Genomic DNA, 27,409 nt, shown 5'->3' on the forward strand with positions numbered 1-27,409 from the left:
TTATGATCTGCTAAGCAATTCACCAACCATACTTCTCCACCTCAGTCCTGACTTTAGCCTCCTTAGGAGAATATTGGAGACATGATTGGTAGTAATGGCCCATTTCTTGACATTTTTGACCAGCTATAGAGCCCATGCCAGATACACATATGTATGTGTGTGTGTGTATATGTAGTGTGTGTGTGTGTATATGTAGTGTGTGTGTGTGTGTTGACTTGCTTAAAGATGTTACAGGGAAGATTATGTTTAAGAACAGTTAGAGGGAAATGTCTTTTTGAGTTTGTTTCCTAAACCCTAAGCCATTCAGCTGACCTTATTATGTCTCTTTACCTCATAGTGTAAAAGTCAAAATGTGTGTGTATAATGGGAAAGGAGAGAGGCGGGAGGAGAAGATGAAGGGATTAATATCCATGAGCCTTTTAGTAAGGACCTGCCTTTTACTAGAGACTGAGCACTCCTCATACATTGTCTCATTAAACCAGGTCTCCAAAATAGTATCCCTCCTGTTTTATGGAAGGGACAACTCAAAAATTTTGCATTGCCAGTAAGTGGTGGAGCTGGAATTTATCCGCCCCAAAGCTTCACAGACTTGCTTTAAAGAAGATGGTATAATTCTATCTCACACCAGTTAGAATGGCGATCATTAAAGAGTCAGGAAACAACAGGTGCTGGAGAGCATGTGGAGAAATACGAACACTTTTACACTGTTGGTGGGAGTGTAAACTAGTTCAATCATTGTAGAAGACAGTGTGGCGATTCCTCAATGATCTAGAACTAGAAATACCATTTGATCCAGCGATCCCGTTACTGGGTATATATCCAAAGGATTATAAATCCTGCTACTATAAAGACACATGCACACATATGTTTATTGCAGCACTATTCACAATAGCAACAACTTGGAACCAACTCAAATCTGTATCGATGATAGACTGGATTAAGAAAATGTGGCACATACAAGCCATGGAGAACTATGCAGCCATAAAAAAGGATGAGTTCATATCCTTTGTAGCGACATGGATGAAACTGGAAACCATCATTCTGAGCAAACTACCGCAAGGACAGAAAACCAAACACCGCATGTTCTCACTTGTAGGTGGGAATTGAACAATGAGAACACTTGGACACAAGGCGGGGAACATCACACACGGGGGCCTGTCCTAGCATGGAAGCTAGGGGAGGGATAGCATTAGGAGATATACCTAATGTAAATGACGAGTTAATGGGTGCAGCAAACCAACATGGCACATGTAGACATACGTAACAAACCTGCACATTGTGCACATGTACCCTAGAACTTAAAGTATAATAAAAAAAAGAAGATAGCATAATTCAAAGTACTTTTAAAAGGACATAGCACTATACTGAGGTTAGGAAAAACAGTATTCCCAAACTGGGATCCTTCTGTGCACTTTGTAACCCTTGTTTACCCTGGCAGTTGCAATACTACCAATTTGACCATTAAGAACATTCGGTATGTTTAAACTATAGTGGGAAAGCCAAGATATGAAGCCATCACCCATGGGAATTTTGAGGCTAGAGTAATTAGAAGCTAATTTAAGATCTCCATTCAACTCTAGGACAGTCAGGGTAACTGCCAGAGAAGCTGCATGCTGAGTAAATCCTGATCCCAAAGTGGAATTTTGCCCTAGTATAATGGGTTCATATTTGATTGGCTGCACTTAGCTATAAATCCTGAGGAGGAGGAAGAGGAGGAAGAGGAGGAGGAGGAGGAAGAGGGGAAGGGGAAGAGGAAGAAGATGAAAGAAGAAGGAGAAGGAGGAGGAGGGGGAGAAACGACATCAGAAAGTAATTGGGCTAGAAGAACTTTAATTTGGAAGCAAAACACAGAATCCAGGTGAGTGGGCTTACTGGGAAAGGCTCATGCCATGTTGCTCCCACAATGGAGGGCCTTATGATGGCGATGGTTAGGTTTCTGCTCTCCTGTTGCACCACCATTTCTCCCAAGGCCTTGATGTAGGTGCAAGAATTGGGTGGATCTCTGATCAGCTTGGGTGTGATCTCGTCAATAACAGCATCGTCTAACCACGTAAAAGGTAGTCAGAGTGAAAAGAATTCTAGCAGCATATGTTAGACAATAGACCAAAAGGAAAATGTGACATGCAAATAGTCAAACAAAACTTCCACCTTTTAGCCTTGGTTCTGGAATTTAGTCACACAATACCAAGTTTGAGGGTATACCTGTTCAAAGCATGCATGAGCTCTTTGCTCTTCACTGCTAAGCCCAATCTCATCAGCCAAATCCTATGCCCTCCCATCTAGAGAGATAGGTAGGTAGAGAGACCAATAGAATCAATAGCAATACCACTTTATTATTACTACTAGTATAGGGCTATTAGTACTACTTTATTAGTATGACTTTAACACTACTATTTATTTATCAATTACTTTATCAATACTACTACTTTATCTGTAGTAGTACTAAACTGGAGGTTATTACATACAACCTCTTTACTTCCTCTCCAAGAAGCTCCTAAGTACATTCACTGCACACATTTTTGAGTCCCAGTCATTCTCCCAATAGTGTGCTGGAAGCTGCGTTCAGGGAGTTTGAGGCTCTCATCCAAGGTGTTTCAGTGGCAGCCCTGTTCAGTGTTGTCCCATAGAAACCCGGTGCAGTGATCCTGAAGAGTTTAGCTTTACATTTAAAAATTTTCATTCAATGCAAACCAAACCAAAGTGACTACTTTTGGCAGACTGACAATCTCCTAGCAAATCTATGTAACGCATTTTGAAGGTCTGTTTAGAGTCTGTGCTAATAACTTGCTAATTATTTCCAGAGATTTCCAATGAATTCTGAAGTCTGTCAAGTGGGGTGATTATAGTACTCTGAAATTGCTTCAAAACCATGAATATTGAATTCTCCTACTTATAATATGACATGTATCATGAATAACTGAGTTACCATAGCATCAGCCTAATCTTTCTTAAAAATATGTCAGAACTGGCCTGGCGGAGTGGCTCACACCTGTAAGCCCAGCACTTTGGGAGGCCGAGGCGGGCGGATATTGAGGTCAGGAAATCGAGACCATCCTGGCCAACATGGTGAAACCCCGTCTCTACTAAAAATACAAAAATTAGCTGGGTGTGGTGGCACATGCCTGTAATCCCAGCTACTTGAGAGGCTGAGGCAGGAGAATCGCTTGAACCCAGGAGTCGGAGGTTGTAATCAGCCAAGATCGCACCACTGCACACCAGCCTGGTGACAGAGCCAGACTCCAGCTCAAAAAAAAAAAAAAAAGAACCATTTGATAAACCCAAAGTCTACACATCTCTAAGAGAGCAAAAAAATATTGTCAATTAAATATGTAACATTTATTCTAGCTGAGAGATCTATGTGCTTAAATTATTGATATAGCGTTTTAAAAATTAAGCTGCCATTCTAACTGGTGTGAGATGGTATCTCATTGTGGTTTTGATTTGCATTTCTCTGATGGCCAGTGATGGTGAGCATTTTTTCGTGTGTCTGTTGACTGCATAAATGTCTTCTTTTGAGAAGTGTCTGTTCATGTCCTTTGCCCACTTTTTGATGGGGTTGTTTTGTTTTTTCTTGTAAATCTGTTTAAGTTCTTTGTAGATTCTGGATATTAGCCCTTTGTCAGATGGATAGATTGCAAAAATGTTCTCCCATTCTGTAGGTTGCCTGTTCACTCTGATGGTAGTTTCTTTTGCTGTGCAGAAGCTCTTTAGTTTAATTAGATCCCATTTGTCTGTTTTGGCTTTTGTTGCCATTGCTTGACATAAGAACGCTTTTACACTGTTGGTGGGAGTGTAAACTAGTTCAACCATTGTGGAAGACAGTGTGGCGATTCCTCAAGGATCTAGAACGAGAAATACCATTTGACCCAGAGATTCCATTACTGGGTATATACCCAAAGGATTATAAATCATGCTACTATAAAGACACATGCACACGTATGTTTATTGCGGCACTATTCACAATAGCAAAAACTTGGAACCAACCCAAATGTCCATCAACCATAGACTGGATTAAGAAAATGTGACACATGAGACCAGCGGCGGCGGCCGCAGCGGTGCTGGAGGCGCAGAGGGCGGCGCAGGCGGAGCCTGGCGAGCGCCTGAGCTAGCGGAGACCTGGCGGCCTTTCGGGAGGCCGCGGCGGCACCCCAGGCCCAGCCGGCACGGGAGGAGTTCCAGGGCGATGGGGCCGTGGTCCGGGCTGATGCTTTGACAGCTGAAAAGAGCGCGGAGCCAGCGCCTGGTCGGGAGGGAGGGGAGCGCGGCGAGGAGAGCGCCAGCTAGCGAGAGAGCGAGCGAGCGCCTGGGAGGGGGCCGGGAGCCAGGGGCAGCTCGGGAGAGCCGGGGCGGTGGCGGCTGTGGCGAGGCTTGGAGCCCTCTTCCCTGCAAACCATGTTTGCCAAAGACAAAGGCTCGTTGGTGCCCTCGGACGGGCAGGCTGGGGAAAAGTTAGCTTTATACGTCTACGAATATTTACTGCAGGTAGGAACACAGAAATCTGCACAGACCTTCTTATCGGAGATTCTCTGGGAAAAAAAAAAACATCACGTTGGGAGAACAGCCTCGGTTTTTGCACTCGTGGTGGTGTGTATTTTGGGACCTTTACTGTGCAGCTCCTAAAAGGAGAGACACTTGTGAACATTCAAGTGAAGCAAAAGCCTTTCCTGATTCTAGTGCAGCAGCTGCCCGGAGCCCCGTGCTTGGCAACATTCCCCCCAACGATGGGATGCCGGGAGGCCGAGTCCCGCCAGGTTTCTTTCAGGGTCCTCCGGGGTCACTGCCCTCGCCGCATGCACAGCCTCCACCTCACAATCCTAGCAGCATGATGGGACCCCACAGTCAGCCTTTTATGTCACCGCGATATGCAGGCGGCCCCAGGCCCCCCGATCAGAATGGGAAACCAGCCTCCTCCGGAGGAGTTCCTGGGAAACAGCCATTGCTGCCCAATTCCATGGATCCCACACGACAGCAAGGCCACCCCCACATGGGAGGATCAATGCAGAGAATGAACCCTCCCCAAGGCATGGGGCCCATGAGTCCCAGCCCACAGAATTACGGCAGTGGCATGAGACCACCACCCAATTCCCTCGGCCCCGCCACGCCCGGGATTAACATGGGCCCGGGAGCTGGCAGACCCTGGCCCAATCCTAACAGTGCTAACTCAATTCCATACTCCTCCTCATCACCTGGTACCTATGTGGGACACCCCCTGGTGGTGGCGGCCCTCCAGGAACACCCACTATGCCCAGTCCCTCAGATTCAACAAATTCCAGCGACAACATCTACACAATGATTAATCTGGTGCCACCTGGAGGCAGCCGGTCCAACTTCCTGATGGGTCCCAGCTTGGACGGTCCAATGGGCAGCATGGGTGGCATGGAGCCACACCACATGAACGGATTGTTAGGGTCAGGCGACATAAATGACTTCCAAAAAATTCTCCTAACAACGTGAATAGTATTAGCAATCTTCCAGGCACCCCTCGAGATGACGGCGAGCTAGGAGGGAACTTCCTCCACTCCTTTCAGAATGACAATTACTCTCCAAGCACGACGATGAGTGTGTGATCCCCCCTTCTCCAAGATGCTGAGAGAGCTGGCATTGCAGGCAGGAAGATGCCAGAAATTATGCAAGAAGTGAGGTGTCATTACCCAGGAGCTGGTGGAGAGGGCATCTCCTGCTCCCCTCAACCCCCTCCCACCCCATCCACGCCCACCTTTTCCAATTTTAGTTTCATGCAGTAAAAAGGCCGAACTTTTTATTCCATGAAACAAAAGAAAGAAAGAAAGAAAGAAAGAAAGAAAGAAAGAAAGAAAGAAAGAAAGAAAGAAAGAAAGAAAATGTGGCACATGTACACCATGGAATACTATGCAGCCACAAAAAGGGATGAGTTCATGTCCTTTGCAGGAACATGGATGAAGCTGGAAACCATCATTCTGAGCAAGCTATCATAAGGACAGAAAACCAAACACTGCATGTTCTCACTCATAGGTGGGAATTGAACAATGAAAACACTTGGACAGGGCAGGGAACATCACACACAGGGGCCTGTCCTAGCGTGGAGGCTAGGGGAGGGATAGCATTAGGAGAAGTACCTAATGTAAATGACGAGTTAATGGGTGCAGCAAACCAACATGGCACATGTATACCTATGTAACAAACCTGCACGTTGTGCACATGTGCCCTAGAACTTAAAGTACAATAATAAAAAAATTAAGCTGCCAGAATATGCTAGTGTGATTTTTCTGATCAATGTGGTACATTTATTTCTATTTTATACAACAGAACATAACAATACTACTTTGATTGTAGAAAATCTTCACTGTTATCACCTTGCTGACATGACACATTTTTGAACAACTAAGATGTGCAGAAGGTTAAGACTTATTCAGAATCACAACTCTCAGTATTAATGCCTCATTTCATCCTGGGGTAGAACATGGGCATTGACAATAATGTTTCCATTTTTCTTGCTTTGCTTCTATGAGTGCTGAGTGTGTTCTGGATACTCAAATGACTTTTCATTTAAATTGAATGGAGAAAGATTGAGGGGTTCTAGAATTAAAAACAACTTAAACTACATAGAAATATCAAGGATATTTTAATTATATGGTCACCTGGAGGCTGGGAAAAAGTGTAGGATGATGCAGACACCTCTCCATCTTAACAATAATCCTACCTTATTTCATTTGTGGGTCAACAGTGGATTGACTGACCTGAGATCATTTTCCCTCAACTGCAAAAATATACAGTTTATAAAAACCAGGTCTTGAGAAAATAGAGCTTAATATCAATAAGGCTGTAAAGAAAAAATTCCTAGAAAACATCAGAGCCCAACAATGTGCTGGGATTGTATGTCACGTGGCTAGTACCAGTTGCTGTCGTTAATGTTGGAGTACATGGAAAGGATAATACTTGGGGGGATGGGGCCTTATAAAGTTTAGTAGCTTTGCTTGTCTTGGAAAATGTTGTTTTTGGTTGTTGTTGTTTTGGTTTGGTTTGGTTTATTTGGGTTTTTTTTTTTTTTTTTTTTTGGAGACGGAGTCTTGCTCTTGTCCCCCCTAGGCTGGAGGGCAATGGTGCAGTCTGGGCTCACTGCAACTTCTGCCTCCCAGGTTCAAGCAATTCTTCTGCCTCAGCCTTCTGAGTAGCTGGGATTATAGGTGCCTGCCACCACGCCTGGCTAATTTTTGAACTTTTAGTAGACACGGGGTTTCACCATGTTGGCCAGGCTAGTCTCGAACTACTGACCGCAGGTGATCCACCTGCCTCGGCCTCCCAAAGTGCTGGGATTTCAGGCATGAGAAAATGTTGGTAACACACATGCAAGAAATTTTAATATTCTATAGATGGCTTGCCTCTGCTGTTGTTATTTACACCTGTATTCCACTGTTTAATCTTCTCATTCCAATTTTACTTGTGAAAATAGCAATAATTATATTCATTCTAAATTCTCAGGCTATTATGAGGGTAAACAAAAATTTTCACAACTGCATTTAAGATCTTTGATAAAACAAAATGAGCCAAAAATCTAAGGCATTCCTATTTTTAAAGAAAACAACAAGGGAGCATCATACATCTGTGTAGGTAATAGTTGGTTTTAAAATGTCATTTCTGGCCAGGTGTGGTGACTCTAACCTATAATCCCAGCACATTGAGAGGCCAAGGAAGGAGGATCGCTTGAGTCCAGGAGTTTGAGACCAGCCTGGGCAACATAATAAGACCCTGTCTCTACAAAAAGAGTTTTTAAAAATTAGCTGGGCTTGGTGGCATGCACCTACTCAGGAGGCTGAGGCAGGAGGATTGCTTGAGCCTGGGAGTTGAAGGCTGCAGTGAGCTGTGATTCTGCCACCCTACTCCAGCCCGGGTGAAAGAGTGAGACCCTGTCTCAAAATGAAGGAATGAATGAATAAAACAAATAAAAATAAATTATCGTTTATAATACAGCCAAAGAGACCATCTGCTAGCTCATTCGGCCACTTCCTAGGATCAGACAGGAGATTAGTGTAAACATGCATATGCACTGATTGGGCAAAGCCCTTCTCAGGACTTTCACTCAATTCAGGGTTGCTGCTGTTGTTTGTTCTCAATATGTTTTTAAACAGTAAATAAGTTAGCATGGATAAAAACCACTATATTAACCAAAATACATGTCTGAAATTAATCTAAATGTTCTTCAGTATACTCAAGAAGATGCTTTGACCCATGGGTCTCAAATACTAAACTCGAATTGCTTCAGAAGAAGCATAAAGTCATTAAAAATTTCAGAGAGCATTATGTGTATGTCTATGTGTGTACATGCATAGACACATACATAATTTCTTCTAAAGATTACTATCAATTTTGGTTTCAAACTTATTGAATCAACATGATGATATCATTAATAGTTACATTATTTATGTATTTATGGAATGAAATGCCAAGAGGCATATGTATTTTCCCTCCCTCACCTTCCAATTTTCTCATGCAACAAGTTGGCAAGCCTAGTGGTTTATGAGGAAATCTGTTAGAGAGTAAGTAGTGGACACACTGTCTTATGATAACATTTGCTCTTTCTTTCTCCAGTCTAAATTATATAGTTCACTTGATTGTTGTAGTTACAAAGTTGTATTTGTTCACGTGTCTGTCTCCCCATTGGACAGTGAGTCCAGGAGAGCAGGGATTATGATTTTTATCTCTGTGTCTAATCACTTTTCTGCCCCCAGGAGCCAGCTACCTTATTCAGTAAATGGATGCTCTTCCACATGGTAATCTTGATTGGCCAATTTCTGTACTATATAAGGTTTTGGGAAGCAGAGATGGACAATGATAAGAGAGAGTAGAAGAAAGGAAGATGAGGTTATAGGGAGAATGTGGGAAAGGAAAGAAGGGGATATCTTCATAGAGCAGGAAGCAAAATTGGAAGTCAAAGTGTCCAGTGGCAGTGGTGAAAAGTGTTGACCAACCTCGATTTGGTGAAGGTGGCGTCACATCAATTTAAACTTTTCATGGGGAAGCAGGGTATTTCTCAACCTAATGCTTATGGAGAATTGGCCTCTGTATTTCCCTCCAGACTTTCGCGGACTACTCAGCCTAGCCCAAACATGAGCCAGATGCCGAATGGACTGCCAATGTGAAAATTATTCGATTTGATTAAGAAACAATTTAATCTTATTCTGGCTTGTATTTAAAGCCTGCTAATATCAAAGTACACAGAATTTTCATTTTTATATCAGCAACTTAGATGCCATTTAGAAGCTGTGCCACCCTGAAATTAAAAGCACAAGTGCTAGAGTCAGCTTTCACCATTCCCCTAGAAGAGATCAGCTTTTTTGGTGTTAACAATGTGTTCTATAGCAGGAAGGCAAGACTACTGTCCAAGATCTGACCTCCTTTCCTATCTCCTGGAGGGCTGTGATGAGGGCCACTGCTACTGGCTGTGAGGGTCTCCATTTCCCTGCCCGTCAACCCTGTACCCTCAGTGCACACACCACCTTTCCTTTCTTACATTGCAGACTAGCTGTGTCTTCTGGTGGCCACATAGCTTCAGAAGTGTGGTTTTTAGTAGGTACAGATCTACTAGGACCTTTCATTCAGTTAAAGCTTCTAGGAACTGAAAGACAACAGGAGGCGAGGAGAGCAGGAGAAGGAGGAAGCAAGGAGTATTAGAAGATAAACGATCCTCATTTCAAATGAAGACTGCTTAATGAAAAATCTCCTTAAGGCACTATTTCCCAAACTTGCCTGTTCATCAGTGTGAATTACACAGGGCCCCTGGGAAAAATTCAGACTCCTGGCTGCCATTTTAGAACCACTAAATAGATCTGCAGAGGTAAGAGTCTGGATAATCTGTATTTTCAACATGCCCTGGAAATTCCAACAGTCAGGCAAATTAGGGAATCACTAATTTAAAAGAAGTCCACTCCATCAACTTAAGTTGTTAAGATTTGAATAGATCAGGATTAGCTCTCAAAAATGCATTGCTTCTTGAAGTAAACATTTCAACAGAATTAAATTTTGAAAGAATTAAATCCCCTAATGCTATCCCTTCCCTAGCTCCCCACAGGCCCCAATGTGTGATGTTCCCCTCCATGTGTCCATGTGTTTTCATTGTTCATCTCCCACTTATGAGTGAGAACATGTGGTGTTTGGTTTTCTGTTCCTGTGTTAGTTTGCTGAGGATGATGGCTTCCAGCTTCATCCGTGTCCCTGCAAAGGACATGAACTCATCCTTTTTTATGGCTGAGAGTATTCCATGGAGTATATGTGCCACTTTTTTTATCCAGTCTATCAGTGACGGGCATTTGGGTTGGTTCCAAGTCTTTGCTATTGGGAACGGTGCTGCAATAAGCATGTGTGTGCATGTCTTTATAGTACAGTGATTTATAATCTTTGGGCATATACCCAGAAAGGGGATTGTGAGGTCAATTGGTATTTCTGGTTCTAGATCCTGGAGGAATAGCCACACTGTCTTCCCCAATGGTTTTACTAATTTACACTCCCACCAACAGTGTAAAAGTGTTCCTCTTTTTCCACATCATCTCCAGCACCTAATGTAGATGAGAGGTTGATGGGTGCAGCAAACTACCATGTCATGTGTATACCTATGTAACAAACCTGCACGTTCTCCACATGTATCCCAGAACTTAAAGTATAATAATAATCACAATTAAAAAGATAGAAAATTTAAAATTTTAATTTAAATTGGGCTTTAGTTACTTGCAAAATACATTGTATTTCCAAACAATGTGCAAAACAAAGAGTTATTGTATGCATTATCAATAAAGTTATATCACTTCTCATAAAAATAACATTAAAGAAAAATAATTAAATCCATTTTAGGACAATTAAAAAATGTATCTGTCAATTTTAACTGAAAATTCTCTTACATTTATACATCCCACATTCTAATAAGGACTAATTGACACTTAATTATGAGCAGTAAAGAAATATGTGTTTGCATGTCTGTATACTTACAGATCTGTTCCAATGGAAATATCTATTTGGAGTCAGAAAATCTGTTTGGTCCCAGTTCTCACTAAAAACATGATCTCATTAAAAATACTTAAACACAATAAACTTTACTTTCTCATTTATTAAAAAAAATTAAATCCCTGGCACTAGAAATGTAAAACATGGCAAGTATGCATGTTCTAATCTGGAGTTAATTTGGTATGTGTAATCCCATAAGCAAAGCAGTAGCCATGTCCTATTGTTTTTTTTTTCTTTCCCAATACACATGCTAATCTACTGCCTCCCCCAGCCCCTGGCCATATTAATATTACTGAAGCCCACTTTCATCAGTGTCTTTCCACGATAAAAACAAATGAACAAGCAACCAAAAACTACACAAAACCACATGCACACACATGGCCCTCCTTCAATGGATCTCCACTGCCTAGAGAATTAAATCCAATTCCTCTGCATGGTATGCAAAATCTCCACAGTACGGCCCAACCTGCCTCTCCAGCTTGATCTCTAACTGCTTCCCTACACATAACACATGTGCTGCCAAGAGGGACTTCTGGCTGTGTCCCAAACACACCTGGGTTTCCCAGCTCCAGTTGCCCTGCCTGGTGTCTGTGCACATCTCACCTATCCACACTCCTCCCACTCTTCCAAGTCACCTCATATGCCTCTCTCCACTCCACCAGACTTAATATGTACTGTTTCCCCATCACCCCACGTGTATAATTCTGCCCTGTTCTATTTGTCTGGGACGTGAGCTCCTTGGGAACAGTCTATATCTTAAGAAAGCACCTTTTAATCTCTAACACTGCCGAGTATGTGAGTAGACTGGAAAGACCATGAGCTTCAGAATCAAGTGGCCATGGATACCTTTCTTGAAAGGTAAAGAAAGTCTTGAGAGACTTTCAAGGAGTTACTTAGCCTTCCTGAGCTTTTTGCTCCTTAATTAGTATAGCAGTGATAATAAATCAACCCTACAATATTAAGTTATGGAAATAAATGTCTGTGAAAGCATCTCACTCACAGTGATTGCTCAATAATGACTCATCTCCTCCCTTCCCTTCTTAATTCAGATTTATTAACATATGTTCAATAAAGCAATAGGTATTTGTGATTCCATTTTTCTAGTTCCTAATTCTAGTTATTTCAGGTTTTTATACAGGCGCAGAAGCCCTTTTCCTCTACACTGGTTCCCCTAAGAGGAGTTACCTTGACCTAAAACATAAGAAAAGCACCAACCGTAAAACTCTGCCTTTCTTAGTCAGTTATGTGCATTTTAAAAAATAAACTTTCTACTTAAGCTGTTATTCTGGAAAACCAGAATTTCACTGGCAATCCCTGATCCATTTATGCCCCTAAATTTCCAAGGTAAATACAGCAAATAGGCAGAAGCTGGTAATATGAAGATAGAGATGAGTCAGGATGGGAACTGGTGGCTGGGATGAGGGCCAGAAGAAAACTACAGGTATAAGAGCCAGGAAAATTAGTTGCTTAACACTGATTAATGGCCATGCTTGTCCTACTCATTACAAACATTAACTTCTCATTTAAGTTATTTTAAAATATTTTTATGCTGACATGCTAAAGTTTTTGTGCTAACAAAATCAAATTTCATCTTTCTGGAATATTTCAGAGCCAAGGTAATCTAAAATTTTTAGATAGGGGCTAAAGAAAGGGAGCTCAGGCCCGACAGTCTCAGGATATAGGCCGAATAGAAAATGGAGGGAGCTGAACGAAGAGAGACGTTAGGCTTGCAAAGGTAGGGACCAGGATGTAAGCATGAGGTTCAAGTTCACAGTCCCATTCACTTTATTAACAGCACTGAGCAGTATCACTGCTGCCCAAGCCATCAGAAAGGTCCTGGCCAAAAATGCAAATCCTTCTTTATCTTCCAGAACTGGAATTCCCATTCAACAGATTTTCTGGAAAAATAAAGTTTCCTTTTACATTGTCATGGCTATTTTTTTGAGATCACAATGCCCAGAGTACAGCTTCTAGATTATCTTGATGTCTAACTCCTGATTCCTTAAGAACAGCTGAAATACTAAGAGCAAATGACAGCTGCTAGACCCCTTGAAGTTACTGTTTAAAAAAAAAACTGTTCCCTAGGTATTTCTCTGTTTCACTGAAAGAAAAACAAACTCCCAGGGGAAACAGAAACCTAAAAACCTTTGAAAATAATTCTTTTTTAACACAGGCCAATTACTAAATAGAGAACTCATCAAAAGTATTTTCTTAAAGCAAAAAACTAAACCTGCATTTAGGTAAATTAATGTTTATTCATAACGATTTTTAATGTTATTTGTTATTCTAAAACTTGCAAAAATTCCATCTGTTATAGGAGTTATTGAAATAGTCATAGATGGGTGTATGTGCGGGGGAGAAGATGGCGGCGGCGGGGGAGGCAGCGTGAGCAGCCGGAGGAGCGCCGAGTCCCATTGAAACCGGCAGCCATGGCCCTCCACAGCCCGCAGTATATTTTTGGAGATTTTAGCCCTGATGAATTCAATCAGTTCTTTGTGACTCCTCGATCTTCAGTTGAGCTTCCTCCATGCAGTGGAACAGTTCTGTGTGGCACACAAGCTGGGGATAAACTACCTGATGGACAAGAATATCGGAGAATTGAGTTTGGTGTCAATGAAGTCATTGAACCCAGTGACACTTTGCTGAGAACCCCCAGCTACAGTATTTCAAGCACACTGAACCCTCAGGCCCCCGAATTTATTCTCGGTTGTACAGCTTCCAAAAGAACCCCTGATGGTATCACTAAAGAAGCAAGCTACGGCTCCATCGACCAGTACCCAGGCTGTGCCCTCGCTTTGGATGGAAGTTCTAATGTGGAGGCGGAAGTTTTGGAAAATGATGGTGTCTCAGGTGGTCTTGGACAAAGGGAGCGTAAAAAGAAGAAAAAGCAGCCACCTGGATATTACAGCTGTTTGAAAGATGGTGGCGATGATAGTATTTCCGCAGAAGCCCTGGTCAATGGCATGCCAACTCAGCAGAACAGTGTCAGTGCAGAGGATGCAGAATTTATGGGTGACATGCCCCCGTCAGTTACGCCCAGGACTTTTGACAGCCCCCAGAACTCCACGGACTCTGTCAGTGACACTGTGCCTGACAGTCCTTTCCCCGGAGCACTTGGCAGAGACACCGGGACTGCAGGGCAGCAGGAGGGGGGTCCCGGGGTTGATTTTGGTCAGTCCTGCTTCCCTGCAGGGGCTGGCAGACACACCCTGTCAAGGACAGCTGGGGCTCAGCCCTGCGTTCGTACCGATACTACTGAAAACCTTGGAGTTGCTAATGGACAAATACTCGAATCCTCGGGTGAGGGCACAGCTACCAACGGGGTGGAGTTGCACACCACGGAAAGCATAGACTTGGACCCAGCCAAACCCGAGAGTCCATCACCTCCTGCTGACGGCACGGGCTCTGCATCAGGCACCCTTCCTGTCAGCCAGCCCAGGTCCTGGGCCAGTCTCTTTCACGATTCTAAGCCCTCTTCCTCCTGGCCGGTGGCCTATGTGGAAACTAAGTATTCCCCTCCCGCCATATCTCCCCTGGTTTCTGAAAAGCAGGTTGAAGTCAAAGAAGGGCTTGTTCCAGTTTCAGGGGATCCTGTAGCCAGGCATTGGTTGCTTTCCCGCCGATGTACCACCTGATGAAGTTCATTCCTCTGTATTCCAAAGTGCAAAGGCCCTGTACGTCAACACCCAAGATAGACAGCTTTGTTTGGCTAATGAATGAGTTTACTAATATGCCAGTACCTCCAAAACCCGGACAAGCTCTTGGAGATGAAATCGTGAGGGATATTCACCCTGGAGTTGCCTTTGAGCCCACGTATATTTAGACTCCTGACAGTTAACAAGTCAAGCCTGTCTGAAAAGGATCGACAAGAAGATGCTGAGGAATACTTAGGCTTCATTCTAAATGGACTTCATGAGGAAATGTTGAACCTAAAGAAGCTTCTCTCACCAAATAATGAAAAACGTGCGATTTCCAATGGCCCCAAAAACCAGTCAATGAAGAAGAGCAAGAAAAACAAGGTGAAGGAAGCGAGGATGAATGGGAACAAGTGGGCCCCCGGAACAAGACTTCCGTCACCTGCCAGGCGGATTTTGTTCAGACTCCAATCACCGCATTTTTGGTGGCCACATCAGGTCTGTGGTTTACCAGCAGAGTGCAAAAGAATCTGCCACTTTGCAGCCATTTTTCACGTTGCAGTTGGATATCCAGTCTGACAAAATACGCACAGTCCAGGATGCACTGGAGAGCTTGGTGGCAAGAGAATCTGTCCAAGGTTATACCACAAAAACCGAACAAGAAGTTGAGATAAGTCGAAGAGTGACTCTGGAAAAACTCCCTCCTCTCCTCGTGCTGCACCTGAAACGATTCGTTTATGAGAAGACTGGTGGTGTCAGAAGCTTATCAAAAATACTGAATATCCTGTGGACTTGGAAATTAGTAAAGAACTGCTTTCTCCAGGGGTTAAAAATAAGAATTTTAAATGCCACAGAACCTATCGGCTCTTTGCAGTGGTCTACCATCACGGCAACAGTGCGACGGGTGGACATTACACTAGAGACGTCTTCCAGATCGGTCTGAATGGCTGGCTGCGCATCGATGACCAGACAGTCAAGGTGATCAACCAGTACCAGGTGGTGAAACCAACTGCTGAACGCACAGCCCATCTGCTGTATTACTGCCGAGTGGACCTGCTGTAAACCCTGTGTGCGCTGTGTGTGAGCCCAGTGTCCGCTTTGTAGGACACCACCTCACACTCACTTCCCGCCTCTCTTTATTGGCTCTTTAGAGAGAAACTCTTTCTCCCTTTGCAAAAATGGGCTAGAATGAAAAGGGGATGCCTTGGGGTTCGTGCACAACATAGCTTCTGTTGACTCTAACTTTGAAATCAAAATCATTTGGTTGAAACAGACTGTCGCTTGATTTTAAAAAATACACAAAAACCCATATTTCTGAAATAATGCTGATTCCTGAGATAAGAAAGTGGATTTGATCCCCAGTCTCATTGCTTAGTAGAATAAATCCTGCACCAGCAACACTTGTAAATTTGTGAAAATGAATTTTATCTTTCCTTAAAAAAGAAATGTTTTAATCCATCACATTTTTCTTCCCTACCCTTTAGTTTTTGATAAATGATAAAAATGAGCCAGTTATCAAAGAAGAACTAGTTTTTACTTCAAAAGAAAAATAAACATAAAAAATAAGTTGCCGGTTCCTAACAGGAAAAAAATTAGTAATTGTGCTGAGGGAAACTGCTTACATAGACATTGCAGATCAAATATTTGGAGTTAAAATGTTAGTCTACATAGATGGATGATTGTAACTTTACTGCCATTAAAAAGATTTCAGATTGCATTCATGCTTCTGTGTACACATAATGAAAAATGGACAAATAATGAAGATCTCTCCTTCAGTCTGCTCTGTTTAATTCTGCTGTCTGCTCTTCTCTAATGCTGCATCCCTAATTGTACACAGTTTAGTGATATCTAGGAGTATAAAGTTGTCACCCATCAATAAAAATCACAAAGCTGGTTTAAAAAAAAGAAATAGTCATAGATGATGGTATAGGTGGAGAGGGGTTGCTGGGCTTTATGTAAAGTGCTATTCAAAGCTTCACATATAGGTTTCATTCAAACTTTAAGAAGAAAAAAATGAACAATCAGAAATGGGTAAGATGTGGGGATATAAATAGATATTTTGCACATAAGACTTCTGCATCCCCAAATATTAGCTTGTTGTGGAATTCTGTCATCTATTCTTGTTTCAGTCAAAACAAGCAAAAAAAAAAAAACAGTCAGAACAGTATGAACAACAATCATCTAGTTCCACCAAAAACTTTTCACTCAGCAAGCAAGCATTGAGTCCCTAGCTGAAGATGCAAAGAGGAGCAAGAAATATTCTCTTCCATTGAGACGGTCATTGTCTAAAGGAAAATGTAGATAAGCAACCAGACATTCAGAATGACCTGTGTTACAAGCAATAATAAAGCTGAGCGCTGGGTACTATGGGGCACTTGGGAAGGCTGCCTAAGCCAGAGAGCTTCACAGGGAGCCTTGATGTCTGAGTAAGAATTAACCAGGTGAAGCAGAAGGGGAAATAGGCTCTAGGAACAGAGAGCTTTGAGCGCAAAGGCAGGCAGAGTGTGAGGAGAGGAGGCCTTACTTCCTTGTGACTGCAGCATGAAGGTAAGGGGAGGGCTGAGAGAAATGAGGCTCCACAGGTGCTCCTGGATGTCCTAATTAATTTTGAATTAACAAATCATAAGTATGACTTTTTCTCTGTTTTTTTTTTAAAAAAACTTTGTTCCTTAATTGCATGCAAAATGTATCTGTTGAGATAAAATAATTTCATACCTATTTCTAATTAGTTGCTCAAATAATTGTTATCCTTGGAGAGCAGTAAATGACAGATGAACATTAAAAATTTTGTAAAAATATCAATTGCAGTTTGTTCATATATCATGTAGCAATTACCAGCCTTGTCTGGCTGACATATACCTGAGGGAGTGTGGAAAGTGCCGAATGCCTGAAGATAAATCAACTCTTCCTCTGGGAGGTGAGTTTATTCTTCTTTGAAACCCATGGGTATTTAGTGTCTGGAGATGGTGGTATGGAGTACATAGAGAAGCCCTTCATTAGGAGTGAACTCTTACTTATTGTCTCTGATGAACTCTCAGACTATTTTGCTGCCTCAAATTGCACTACGACCTGTCAGGCGTTAGAGAGATCAGCAGTGGAGACAGTCCCAGGAAACAGTCTGGAAACAAAAGGGTCTGCCCCTCTCCTGGGTACATCAAATATGGAAGCATCACATTTGCCAAGAGACAACACCATAAGAGGATAACTGACAGCAGTCAATTCTATCCTGAAAATGCTCTGAGGCTTTAAGCATAGTTTACTGCCTTGACATTGGGCCTCAGAGTACACCTGCCTTTTCTCCCACTATCCTGATAAATTCTGCACTCTAAAATGTTTCTCTGTATCAATGTAGCAAACCTCCATTTATTAGCAACTTTAAGTAACCTCCAGGTCCTTTAGATGACTTTCATTCTTCTTTGTCCTGGACATTTTTATATGACAGACAAAAATATCTATTCTCAGAGCTGGAGGAGATAAAAATGTTTTCCCTGAAGGGAATGAACTCTTAATTAAGCTAAAAGTTTTTAAAGAGTATATATTAAATGTAAATACAGTATTATAGAAAATTATAATGTAATAAATTTACTGTGAAAGAGTCCATTTTTCTGGTATAATACTTTTTATGTAGAGTTTAAAAAAAAATTGAACAAAAAGCAAAGTAAACTTAGTGAAATGGAGCAGAATAAAGAAACAGAAAACAAACCTATCCTGAGACCCAAGCTGTGTCCTAGGATGAAAGTGGTTTCTGCTGGTTGGCAAGAAGAGAAGAATCCTAGACACTATTTCTCTTGCATAATAGGACAGTAAGGAAAGGGTGTCTCAGCCAAAGAAGTCAAGAGAACTTCTGCCAGATCTTGGAGCAATTCTTATTCTTCGTTAGTTCTTCTTTACTAATCATTTGATTAACTGATATTAAACACTCCCTAGCACTGCAATAAGTGTTTTATATAACTTTATTCAACCTCACAACAATCAAATGGGCCCATTTTACAAATGAAGGACCTGGGGTTCAGAGAGGCCAAGGGACTTTCTCAAAGTCACACAGCTAGTTAGTTGTGGAGCTATGCCAAACTCATGTCGGAATCAAAAATGTTTCTTCTGAAATTTTATACTATTCATTGTACTTGCTTTATCTAGTGACAATGCTAAGTTCATTAAGAAGCGAGAAACCACTTCTTTGTATAGTATTCCCAAGTACCTCATGCAATCCTATACAATTTAGCAAAATGTTTCTTTAAGAATTTTCTATCCCCCTTCTCTTTCAGCAGTATATTCCCCACCAGGGGATGAAAGAGGTAACAGGGACAAGGTAACTAAGGCTAGCACCGTTTCAAAGCATTTTGCTGCAAAACTGTTTCTCTTCATCATCTCATTAATAGACAGCTACAAAGAATCAAAGAGAGCAACATTCTACTCACACCTTGATCCCTTTATTTGACCAATTACTCAAGGGAATCGACGATTTTTTTTTTTGGCTCCACAGGGCACGGATAAACAACTTCATCGATGTGCTTCAGGTTACCATTTGAAAAGGCAGTAGAGATATGTATAAAGGCTTCCAGCTTTGGCATCTGACTAGCCGTAAGAGCTTCTGGGTGGCAGTGATGTTAAGTTGCACAGCATGTCTACAGAAGATTAAGCAGAAGGAAATACAGTGAGATAAGTCAGCATCATGCCTTGCTATAACTGCACCTACTCCCATAACTGGCATACCTATCAGATTTTGGTGGCTGCACCAAAACACCAGGAAGAAAAGGATGGGGCACGGCTGCACAGTTATGTGATACTTGGAATGTCTTATGTATTGATGATGTGTTTGTGTACATAAACCCTATTCACTGATGCACTGTATGGCATATTTAGAGGTCACTTGGCTCTAATCAACTGGAAAAAGAATCACAATCCTCTGAATTTACAAAGGTGCTTCTATAAGCAGCCATTAAAAGAACAAAAACATGTAAATTAAGCATCTAACTGAAGAAATTGGAAAATATAAATAAACTGGAGAGAAGCAACAGTGGATTTTTAAATGAGCAATATAAGTTGTTATAAAGTTCCAGGCCAGACATGAAAATTGATGTCAAAATCTGAAATTGCAACTACTGGAATACAAAGCTATATAGACAGTATGTGATAACAATGAAATACTTCATTCTAGGAATACATGGTTTATCGAATACCAGGAAACTTATTAATTTAATTTAACTCAAAAAGAGAAAAACTATATAATAATCTGTATGTATTTTGAAAAGTTTAAGACGATGTTTAGTTTTCATTTCCAATTTCATTAAATGAATTCACTAGAATAGGAATAAAATGATTAAACAATATGTATTTAATTTGCTAGCCAATGTCATTCTTAATGGTGAAAAGCTAGGAATACTGCTGGTAAAGCCAGGGCTAGAAATAATGCCTGCAGTCACAACTACTACTTAACATTGTTCTGAGGTCCTAGCCTTGTAAGTAATTAGAAAGAAAACTAAAATTAATGAAGAAATATAGATATTAAAAAGACAGTCACAAAAATTACTATAGGATTATATAATTGCATACCTGGAAAACAGAAGCAGCTTTTTTAAAAAGCTAAAGTGTACTATAGTTCAGTAAGGTGTCCACTGATAAAAATTATATGAAAAGGCCAGGCACAGTGGCTCAAGCCTTAATCCCAGCACTTTGGGAGGCTGAGGCAGGCGGATCACGAGGTCAGGAGATCGAGATCATTCTGGCTAACAGGGTGAAACCTCGTCTCTACTAAAAATACAAAAAAATTAGTCGGGCACGGTCGGTGGCGGGTGCCTGTAGTCCCAGCTACTCGGGAGGGTGAGGCAGGAAAATGGCGTGAAACCGGGAGGCGGAGCTTGCAGTGAGCCGAGATCGCGCCACTGCACTCCGGCCTGGGCAACAGAGCAAGACTCCATCTCAAAAAAAAAAAAAAAAAAAAGAAAGAAACATTAGCTTGCCTGTATATAAACAAAAATTAGAGAATACAATGCAAGAAATTTTCAAATGTGAACATTTATATCAAGTTAATCATAAATTAATATAATAACAGAAAGCAAAAATTGAATAAATGGGAAAACATATTGTTCTTGGATAGGAAGAGTCAATATTTTAAATATGCTAAATGTTTCTAAAGTATTCTATATCTATAAAGTAATTCCAACCAAACTCCCAAGATTTTTAAAAACCTGGCAAGATTATCTTAAATTTAATCAAGAAGTATATGCAATGAGAACAGTCAGGAAAACTCTATAAAAATGAGAGTGTGGGAGGTGGAGGTTGCACTGAGCCATGATTGTGCCACTGCACTCCAGCTTGGGCAACAGAGTGAGACTTCATCTCAAAAAAATTAATAAATAAAGTAAAAAATAAAAATATAAACTCCTCATGTATGACTTCTGTAGTCAGACACTAACACTGTATTTTTATTAGAAGCAGGAATTGGGGTAGGGGCATTAAATTTATATAACGCTTTTGAAACAATTCAGAAGCCTTTAATGTGGTCTCTTAACAATCAACGAGTTAGCCACATGACCTCATTTTGGTAGTATCCACAGGAGATTTGGCCTCTACTTCATTGGGCTCATTGAAGGTAATCAAATCTTTTCTAGTCATGAGAATCTTTGATCTTTAATTATTTTACTAAGTCTTGCTCTTCAAAAATAACTGTCTTATTTAGTCCCATTAACCCACCAAGACCTGCTTACACATATACATATATATATATGTAAAAGAAAAGAGTAAGGTCCCTTAAACTAAGGGGCAATCTCTGTGGAATATTTGGTGTCCCAAGGTGAAAGAGACACTGTAACATTTTACAGAGAATTTGTAGAGTGCTGAGTAAAAGCAAATAAATGAATTCTACAAATTAGCTCCAAGTTTAGAACAATTAAACACAAATAAGTACATTCTAATTTAAGCAAAAACCATTATACCCAATGTACAGATTAACAGAAATTCACAAAATGTTAAAATTTTTGCTAGTTCACCAGTAACTCCCATAAGATGTAAAGATTAGTCGACACGTTTTTAATGCTTTAGCAAGGATCATTTCTATAACTCCATAAGGCAGCATGGTATAGTGGTATGGCCGTCAAACTTCGGCATATAGCAGGGTTGCCTAGGAAGTTGCTCAAACAAACAAACAAACATATGTCCTGACCCTGGAAATTCTCATTCAGCAGTGTCAAACTTGGGCATCTAGCTTTACTTTGAACACACTCTCTAGTAATTCTGATACACTCTGAATTTGAGAACCATTAGTGTATTGGAAAGAACTCAGGCCCTTTGGAGCCATGAAAGACTGGATTTGAATTCTGATTCTGCCATTTATTTGCTATGTGCCTGGGGCAAATTACTTACCTCTCTGCACCATCATGTCTAAAATGCCAATCATTTGACTAACTTATCAAGTGATCGCAGAGAAGTAGGATTAAGCACATATTATGCTGTTCTTATAGACAATTTTGCATTTAACAAAATTTTAGTTCATTTTGCATAGTAATCTATAATAAATGCTAAATGCAACACAATGTTTGATTCACCATCTTGTCATGTTTTCTTTCCACACCAAAGGTCAATTTCACAGAGTTCTTTAATAATTCTTTCTTGCAGCTGGGCAGGAAAGGAACTAGGGTGGCTAGGAAGTTGAACAACCTTAAGATTATTTCTGCTCTGCAACAGAATTGGTGGTGTCGCTACATTATTCGTGCTAGAGGATGGAAGAAGTGTTGATACTAACTCAGAAGTGACAAGCAATAGTTTCCCCTTCTTCATGATATTGTCATGGAGGAAGAAATTTCCTAGGAGAGGCAATAAACTACAGTAGGGAAAGTATGGGCTTTAGAGATTAGAGACCTGCATTCCAATTTTGCTGTATAACTGGGCACAAATTACATAACCCTGGATAGAGGACAGCTTTCATGAACTAATATCTCATCTGTGATATAGGAATAGGCACACTACAGAGATTTCTGAGGATTAGAGTAATGAAGTCAAATGTTTGTCTTAGTGCCTACCACATTGTAGGTCCCTAATGACAGGAAAATTCCCTTTCTACTTCCACAGCAGTACTCCATTTCCAAAAGATGCTGGTCAGAAAGCTGTGTCGTGTGTGTGTATGTGTGTGTGTTTGTGTGTGTGTGTTGGGCTATGCCAAGGTTGCTGATTCTATTCTGTGATCCAGAGTGTATGACAAAATCATGTTGAACCTCATGGCTCTTGAATAAAATAACTACGGGAAATTTGAAGCTTTTAAGAAAAAGACGGTGCGATTGGAAGAGATTTTTAAGAACAGGAAAGAAGCTGGACATGTAAAACCATGCTGGTGATTGAATTAGTGAATGATAGTGTAAAAGAAGGTAAGAAAGAAATTGAGAAAATAAATTGCTTCTGTTTCTGGAACTGTTAGTGTATCCCCAGGACTACATTTCCTTCCCTCCCTCCCTCTCTTCCTCCCTCCCTCCCTTTCCCCCTTCCTTCCTTCCTTCCCCTGTAACTGGCCCACAGGGGAGAGGTTGAACATGCTTCAGCTGATCTGACTCCAGTAACAGGAAAACTGAAAACTAGTTACACTAGAGGCCTCTTGCTTTTTGTGAGATAATTTCTTAGGAAAAATTTTTAAAAAAAACTAATGAACACAACTGGCTTTGGAAGTTTAAGTGCAAATATTTATAATTTTGGAAGTTTCCAAATGCCTTTCCAAATGTTCCCAATTGCCTTTGCCTTATATAGAGATTTAACAGAATCATTAATGTCAATCAGAAACTCATTTTTGAAAGTTGAGAAAAAGCAGCTTTTATACAGGGAAGCCTGGGGCAAGCATAAACACACTACTTTTTTTTTTCCTACAAAAGAGTCTAAAAATTATCAAGGAACTCGTAAAATAAAATTAGCACTTCTATTGTGTGCTTCTTTAATAATCAACAGTGTTGCTCGCAGTCCCAGCGCTCCCAACGAGGATGCCTCTCGTTGACAACAACCTGAGCAGACCTGCGCCTAGGCCCTCCGCCAGGCTTGTGCTCGCCTCGCCCAGGGGGAGGAAGACTGAGCCCGGCTCAGGCGGCGCGGCGCGCGGTCCCATTTCCTTCCAGCGATCAGTCCCCTGGCTTGCCAGCGAGTCCCCTGGCTTGCCCCAGCGCCCGCCGCGGCCTCCAGCTGCCCCCGCCCTGACCACTGGCCCGGACGTGCCAGCGGCCGCCGCTGGCAGCGCCTGTGCCATGGGGCTGCCCACTCTGGAGTTCAGTGATTACTACTTGGACAGCCCGGATTTTAGGGAGCGCTTGCAGTGTCACCAGATTGAGCTGGAGCGAACCAACAAGTTCATCAAGGAGCTCATTAAGGACGGCTCTCTGCTCACTGGGGCGTTGAGGACAGGTAATGTTGATTGCCTGCCCAGTTCCCTTGCCCTTTCATCCTTTCCAAAGGAACCCTGAGTTCCTTCAGTAACACACCTCTACCCAGGTTGGAGATCTGTCTATGGCAGTGCAGAAATTTTCCCAGTCATTACAAGATTTCCAATTTGAATGTATTGGTGATGTTGAAACAGATGATGAAATTAGTATTGGTCAGTCACTAAAATAATTTGCAAGACTACTCATTGCAGTAGAAGAAAAGCGAAGACTGATCCAAAACGCTAATGATGTATTAATTGCACCACTTGAGAAACTTCAAAAAGAACAGATAGGTGCAGCAAAAGGTGGAAAGAAGTTTGACAAAGAGAGTGAAAAATATTACTCTATCCTTGAAGAGCATTTAAATTTATCTGCAAAGAAAAAGGAGTCTCATTTGCAAGAGGCAGATACACAAATTGATTGAGCACATCAGAACTTCTATGAAGCATCATCAGAATGTCTTTAAATGGCTCACGCTTGTAATCCCAGCACTTTGGGAGGCCGAGGCGGGTGGATCACCTGAGGTCAGGAGTTGGAGACCAGCCTGACCAACATGGAGAAATCCCGTCTCTACTAAAAATACAAAATTACTGGGCCTGGTGACACATGCCTGTAAAGCCAGCTACTCGGGAGGCTGAGGCAGGAGAATCGCTTGGATCCAGGAGGCAGAGGTTGCAGTGAGCCGAGACTGCACCATTGCACTCCAGCCTGGGCAACAAGAGCAAAACTCCGTCTCAAAATAAATAAATAAACAAATAAATAAAAATAAAAGAAAAAAGAATATGTCTTTAAAATTCAAGAGGTTCAAGAAAAACAGAAGTTTGAATTTGTTGAACTGCTTTTGTCATTTCTTCAGGATTTATTTACTTTTTTACCCCGAGGGATATGAACTTGCCCAGGAATTTGCACCAAATAAGCAACAGCTGCAGTTCGACTTGCAGAATACAAGGAATAATTTTGAAAGTACTTGACAAGAGGTAGAGGGGTTGATGCAAAGGGTGAAATCTGCAAGGCTATCTGCATGTCCAGGAGAAATGACCACTTGGTTTTACATGGATTAAACAGCCTTGTTACTAGCTCACCGGAAATGTTCAAAATCTTGTATCCAACAAAAGACAGATTCAATTGACAAACAATTCTGCTTCGACATACAAGTAGTTGAAAGCCATGGGATCATCACATTACAGGCCTTCTCAGAAGCTAATAGGAAACTCTGGCTTGAAGCCACGGATGGGAAGGAACCACTTTATACTCTGCCTGACATTATAAGCAAGAAAGAAGAAATGTATTTGAATGAAGCAGGGTTCAATTTTGTGAGAAACTGCATTCAAGCTGTGGAAACCAGTGGTATCACCATTTTAGGCCTCTACTGAATAGGAGGAGTGAACTCCAAAGTTCAAAAACTCGTGAATATCATATTTTCTCCTAAATCCCCTCCTGATATTGATATTGAACTGTGGGACAATAAGACAATAATGAGTGGGCTGAAAAACTACCTCAGGTGCTTTGCAGCACCTCTGATAACTTACAAGTTACACAAAGATTTGTATCACTGCTGTTAAATCTGATGACCAAAACTACAGGGTGGAGGCTGTACATGCATTGGTGTGCACATTGCCAGAGAAAAACAGAGAGATGCTGGACATCTTAATAAAACATCTGGTCAAAGTATCACTGCACAGCCAACAAAATCTCATGACTGTCTAAAATCTTGGTGTCATATTTGGCCCAACTCTAATGAGAGCACAAGAATAAACTGTGGCTGCTATGGTGAATATTAAATTTCAGAATATTGTGTAGAAATTCTGATAGAGCACAGTGAAACAATTTTTCATACTGCTCCAGACCCAAGCATTCCTCTTCCTCAGCCTCAGTCTCGATCTGGATCCCAAAGGACAGCCTCAGTCTCGATCTGGATCCCAAAGGACATGAGCAATCTGCCTCTCTACAGGCTCTAGGAAGCCCAGAGGGATGTGTACTCCATGCCTGGCTGAACTTGATAGTGATTCCTATAGCAGCAGCACAGACAGCACCCCCATGGGGAGCATCAAGTCACTCTCTTCTCTTTCCTCAGAACAAAATAGCACTACAAAGTCAGCTTTCTGCCAGCCCAGGGAGAAATCTGGAGGGATTCCTTGGATTGCAACCCAATCTTCCAATGGACAGAAAAGCCTTGGTCTCTGGACAACTAATCCTGAATCAAGTTCTAGAGAAGATGCAACCAAGACAGATGCAGAATCAGATTGCCAGAGTGTTGCTTCGGTCACTAGCCCAGGGGATGTTTCCCCACCCATAGACCTAGTCAAGAAAGGGCCTTATGGGCTTTCAGGACTGAAAAGAGCTTCTGCTTCTTCTCTCAGATCCATCTCTGCAGCTGAAGGAAACATTAGCTACAGTGGATCTATTCAAAGCTTAACTTCTGTAGGTTCCAAGGAGACACCCAAAGCTTCAAACCCAGACCTGCCTCCAAAAATGTGCAGGAGGTTAAGACTAGACACCACCTCAAGCAATGGCTATCAGCGTCCTGGCTCAGTAGTGGCAGCAAAAGCTCAACTGTTTGAAAATGTTGGTTCACCTAAGCCAGTTTCTTCTGGGCACCAAGCCAAAGCCATGTACTCCTATAAAGGAGAGCACAGCGTGAGCTTTCCTTCCCACAAAGAGCGATATTTTCCAGTGTGGACCCATCAGTGGAACCAGGATGGTTAAAGGCAGCTTATGAAGGCAAAACGGGACTAGTTGCAGAAAATTATGTTGTCTTCCTCTACTACTATTTAGTGGATGGCAGTATCTTCATGGTATCCGGTAACAAATAATAAGTGCTATGATTTTATCTGACACAGATACAAGGGGATCAGCCCACTAAGTGAAAACAGTCAATTTCTATCAAGTTCTTCACCAGCAGACTATGTAGCTCCTTATTAATGGAAAAAAAGGTTTAAATGGTTGGCCATTCTTTTTTGGTTGGTTTCTTATTTTAAAATTTCTTGCTTCTGAAAAATTTATTTTTGGATAATACGTAACTCTCCAGAATGTCTCTTCCATAGCAATTGTAGAGTTTCAAATACTTTATTAAGTACTATATCCCATAAACTTGGAAACCAGAAATCTGCTGTATGGATTTTGAGATGTGTCCTTTACTGCCTGGCATTCTCTAAGGATCTCTGAAAGTGCTACTTAAAAATGTTACTGAAAAGCTGGTTACCTGCCCTTTGAGTGCCACAGTCCTGACCTGCTTGTTCTTGACACCTTACATATTACTTCGGAGTTCCCCACTGTGCAGACTCTCAGGTATTAACTGTATAAAACTCTTTACATGCTATTATAATCTGCAATCTCAATCTCTTCTACTTTAAATTAATGTTTCTAGAATAGGTTAAATACACATATACACACACAACTATGCCTGAGAAA

At 41.5% G+C, this 27,409-nt stretch overlaps 5 pseudogenes; 3 read left to right on the forward strand and 2 right to left on the reverse strand.

Moving 5' to 3' along the window:
* LOC100420171 (fatty acyl-CoA reductase 2 pseudogene) lies at window positions 1,872-19,233 on the reverse strand (annotated as a pseudogene).
* On the reverse strand, window positions 4,109-4,616 carry LOC100422528 (pleckstrin homology domain containing B2 pseudogene; annotated as a pseudogene).
* On the forward strand, window positions 4,393-5,564 carry SSBP3P5 (SSBP3 pseudogene 5; annotated as a pseudogene).
* USP10P1 (USP10 pseudogene 1) lies at window positions 13,314-16,506 on the forward strand (annotated as a pseudogene).
* On the forward strand, window positions 23,664-26,960 carry ARHGAP42P4 (ARHGAP42 pseudogene 4; annotated as a pseudogene).
* Window positions 26,961-27,409: the final 449 nt, after the last annotated feature.

The sequence above is a fragment of the Homo sapiens genome, chromosome 14 (genome assembly GCF_000001405.40).
Source record: "Homo sapiens chromosome 14, GRCh38.p14 Primary Assembly".
NCBI classification, from domain to species: domain Eukaryota; kingdom Metazoa; phylum Chordata; class Mammalia; order Primates; family Hominidae; genus Homo; species Homo sapiens.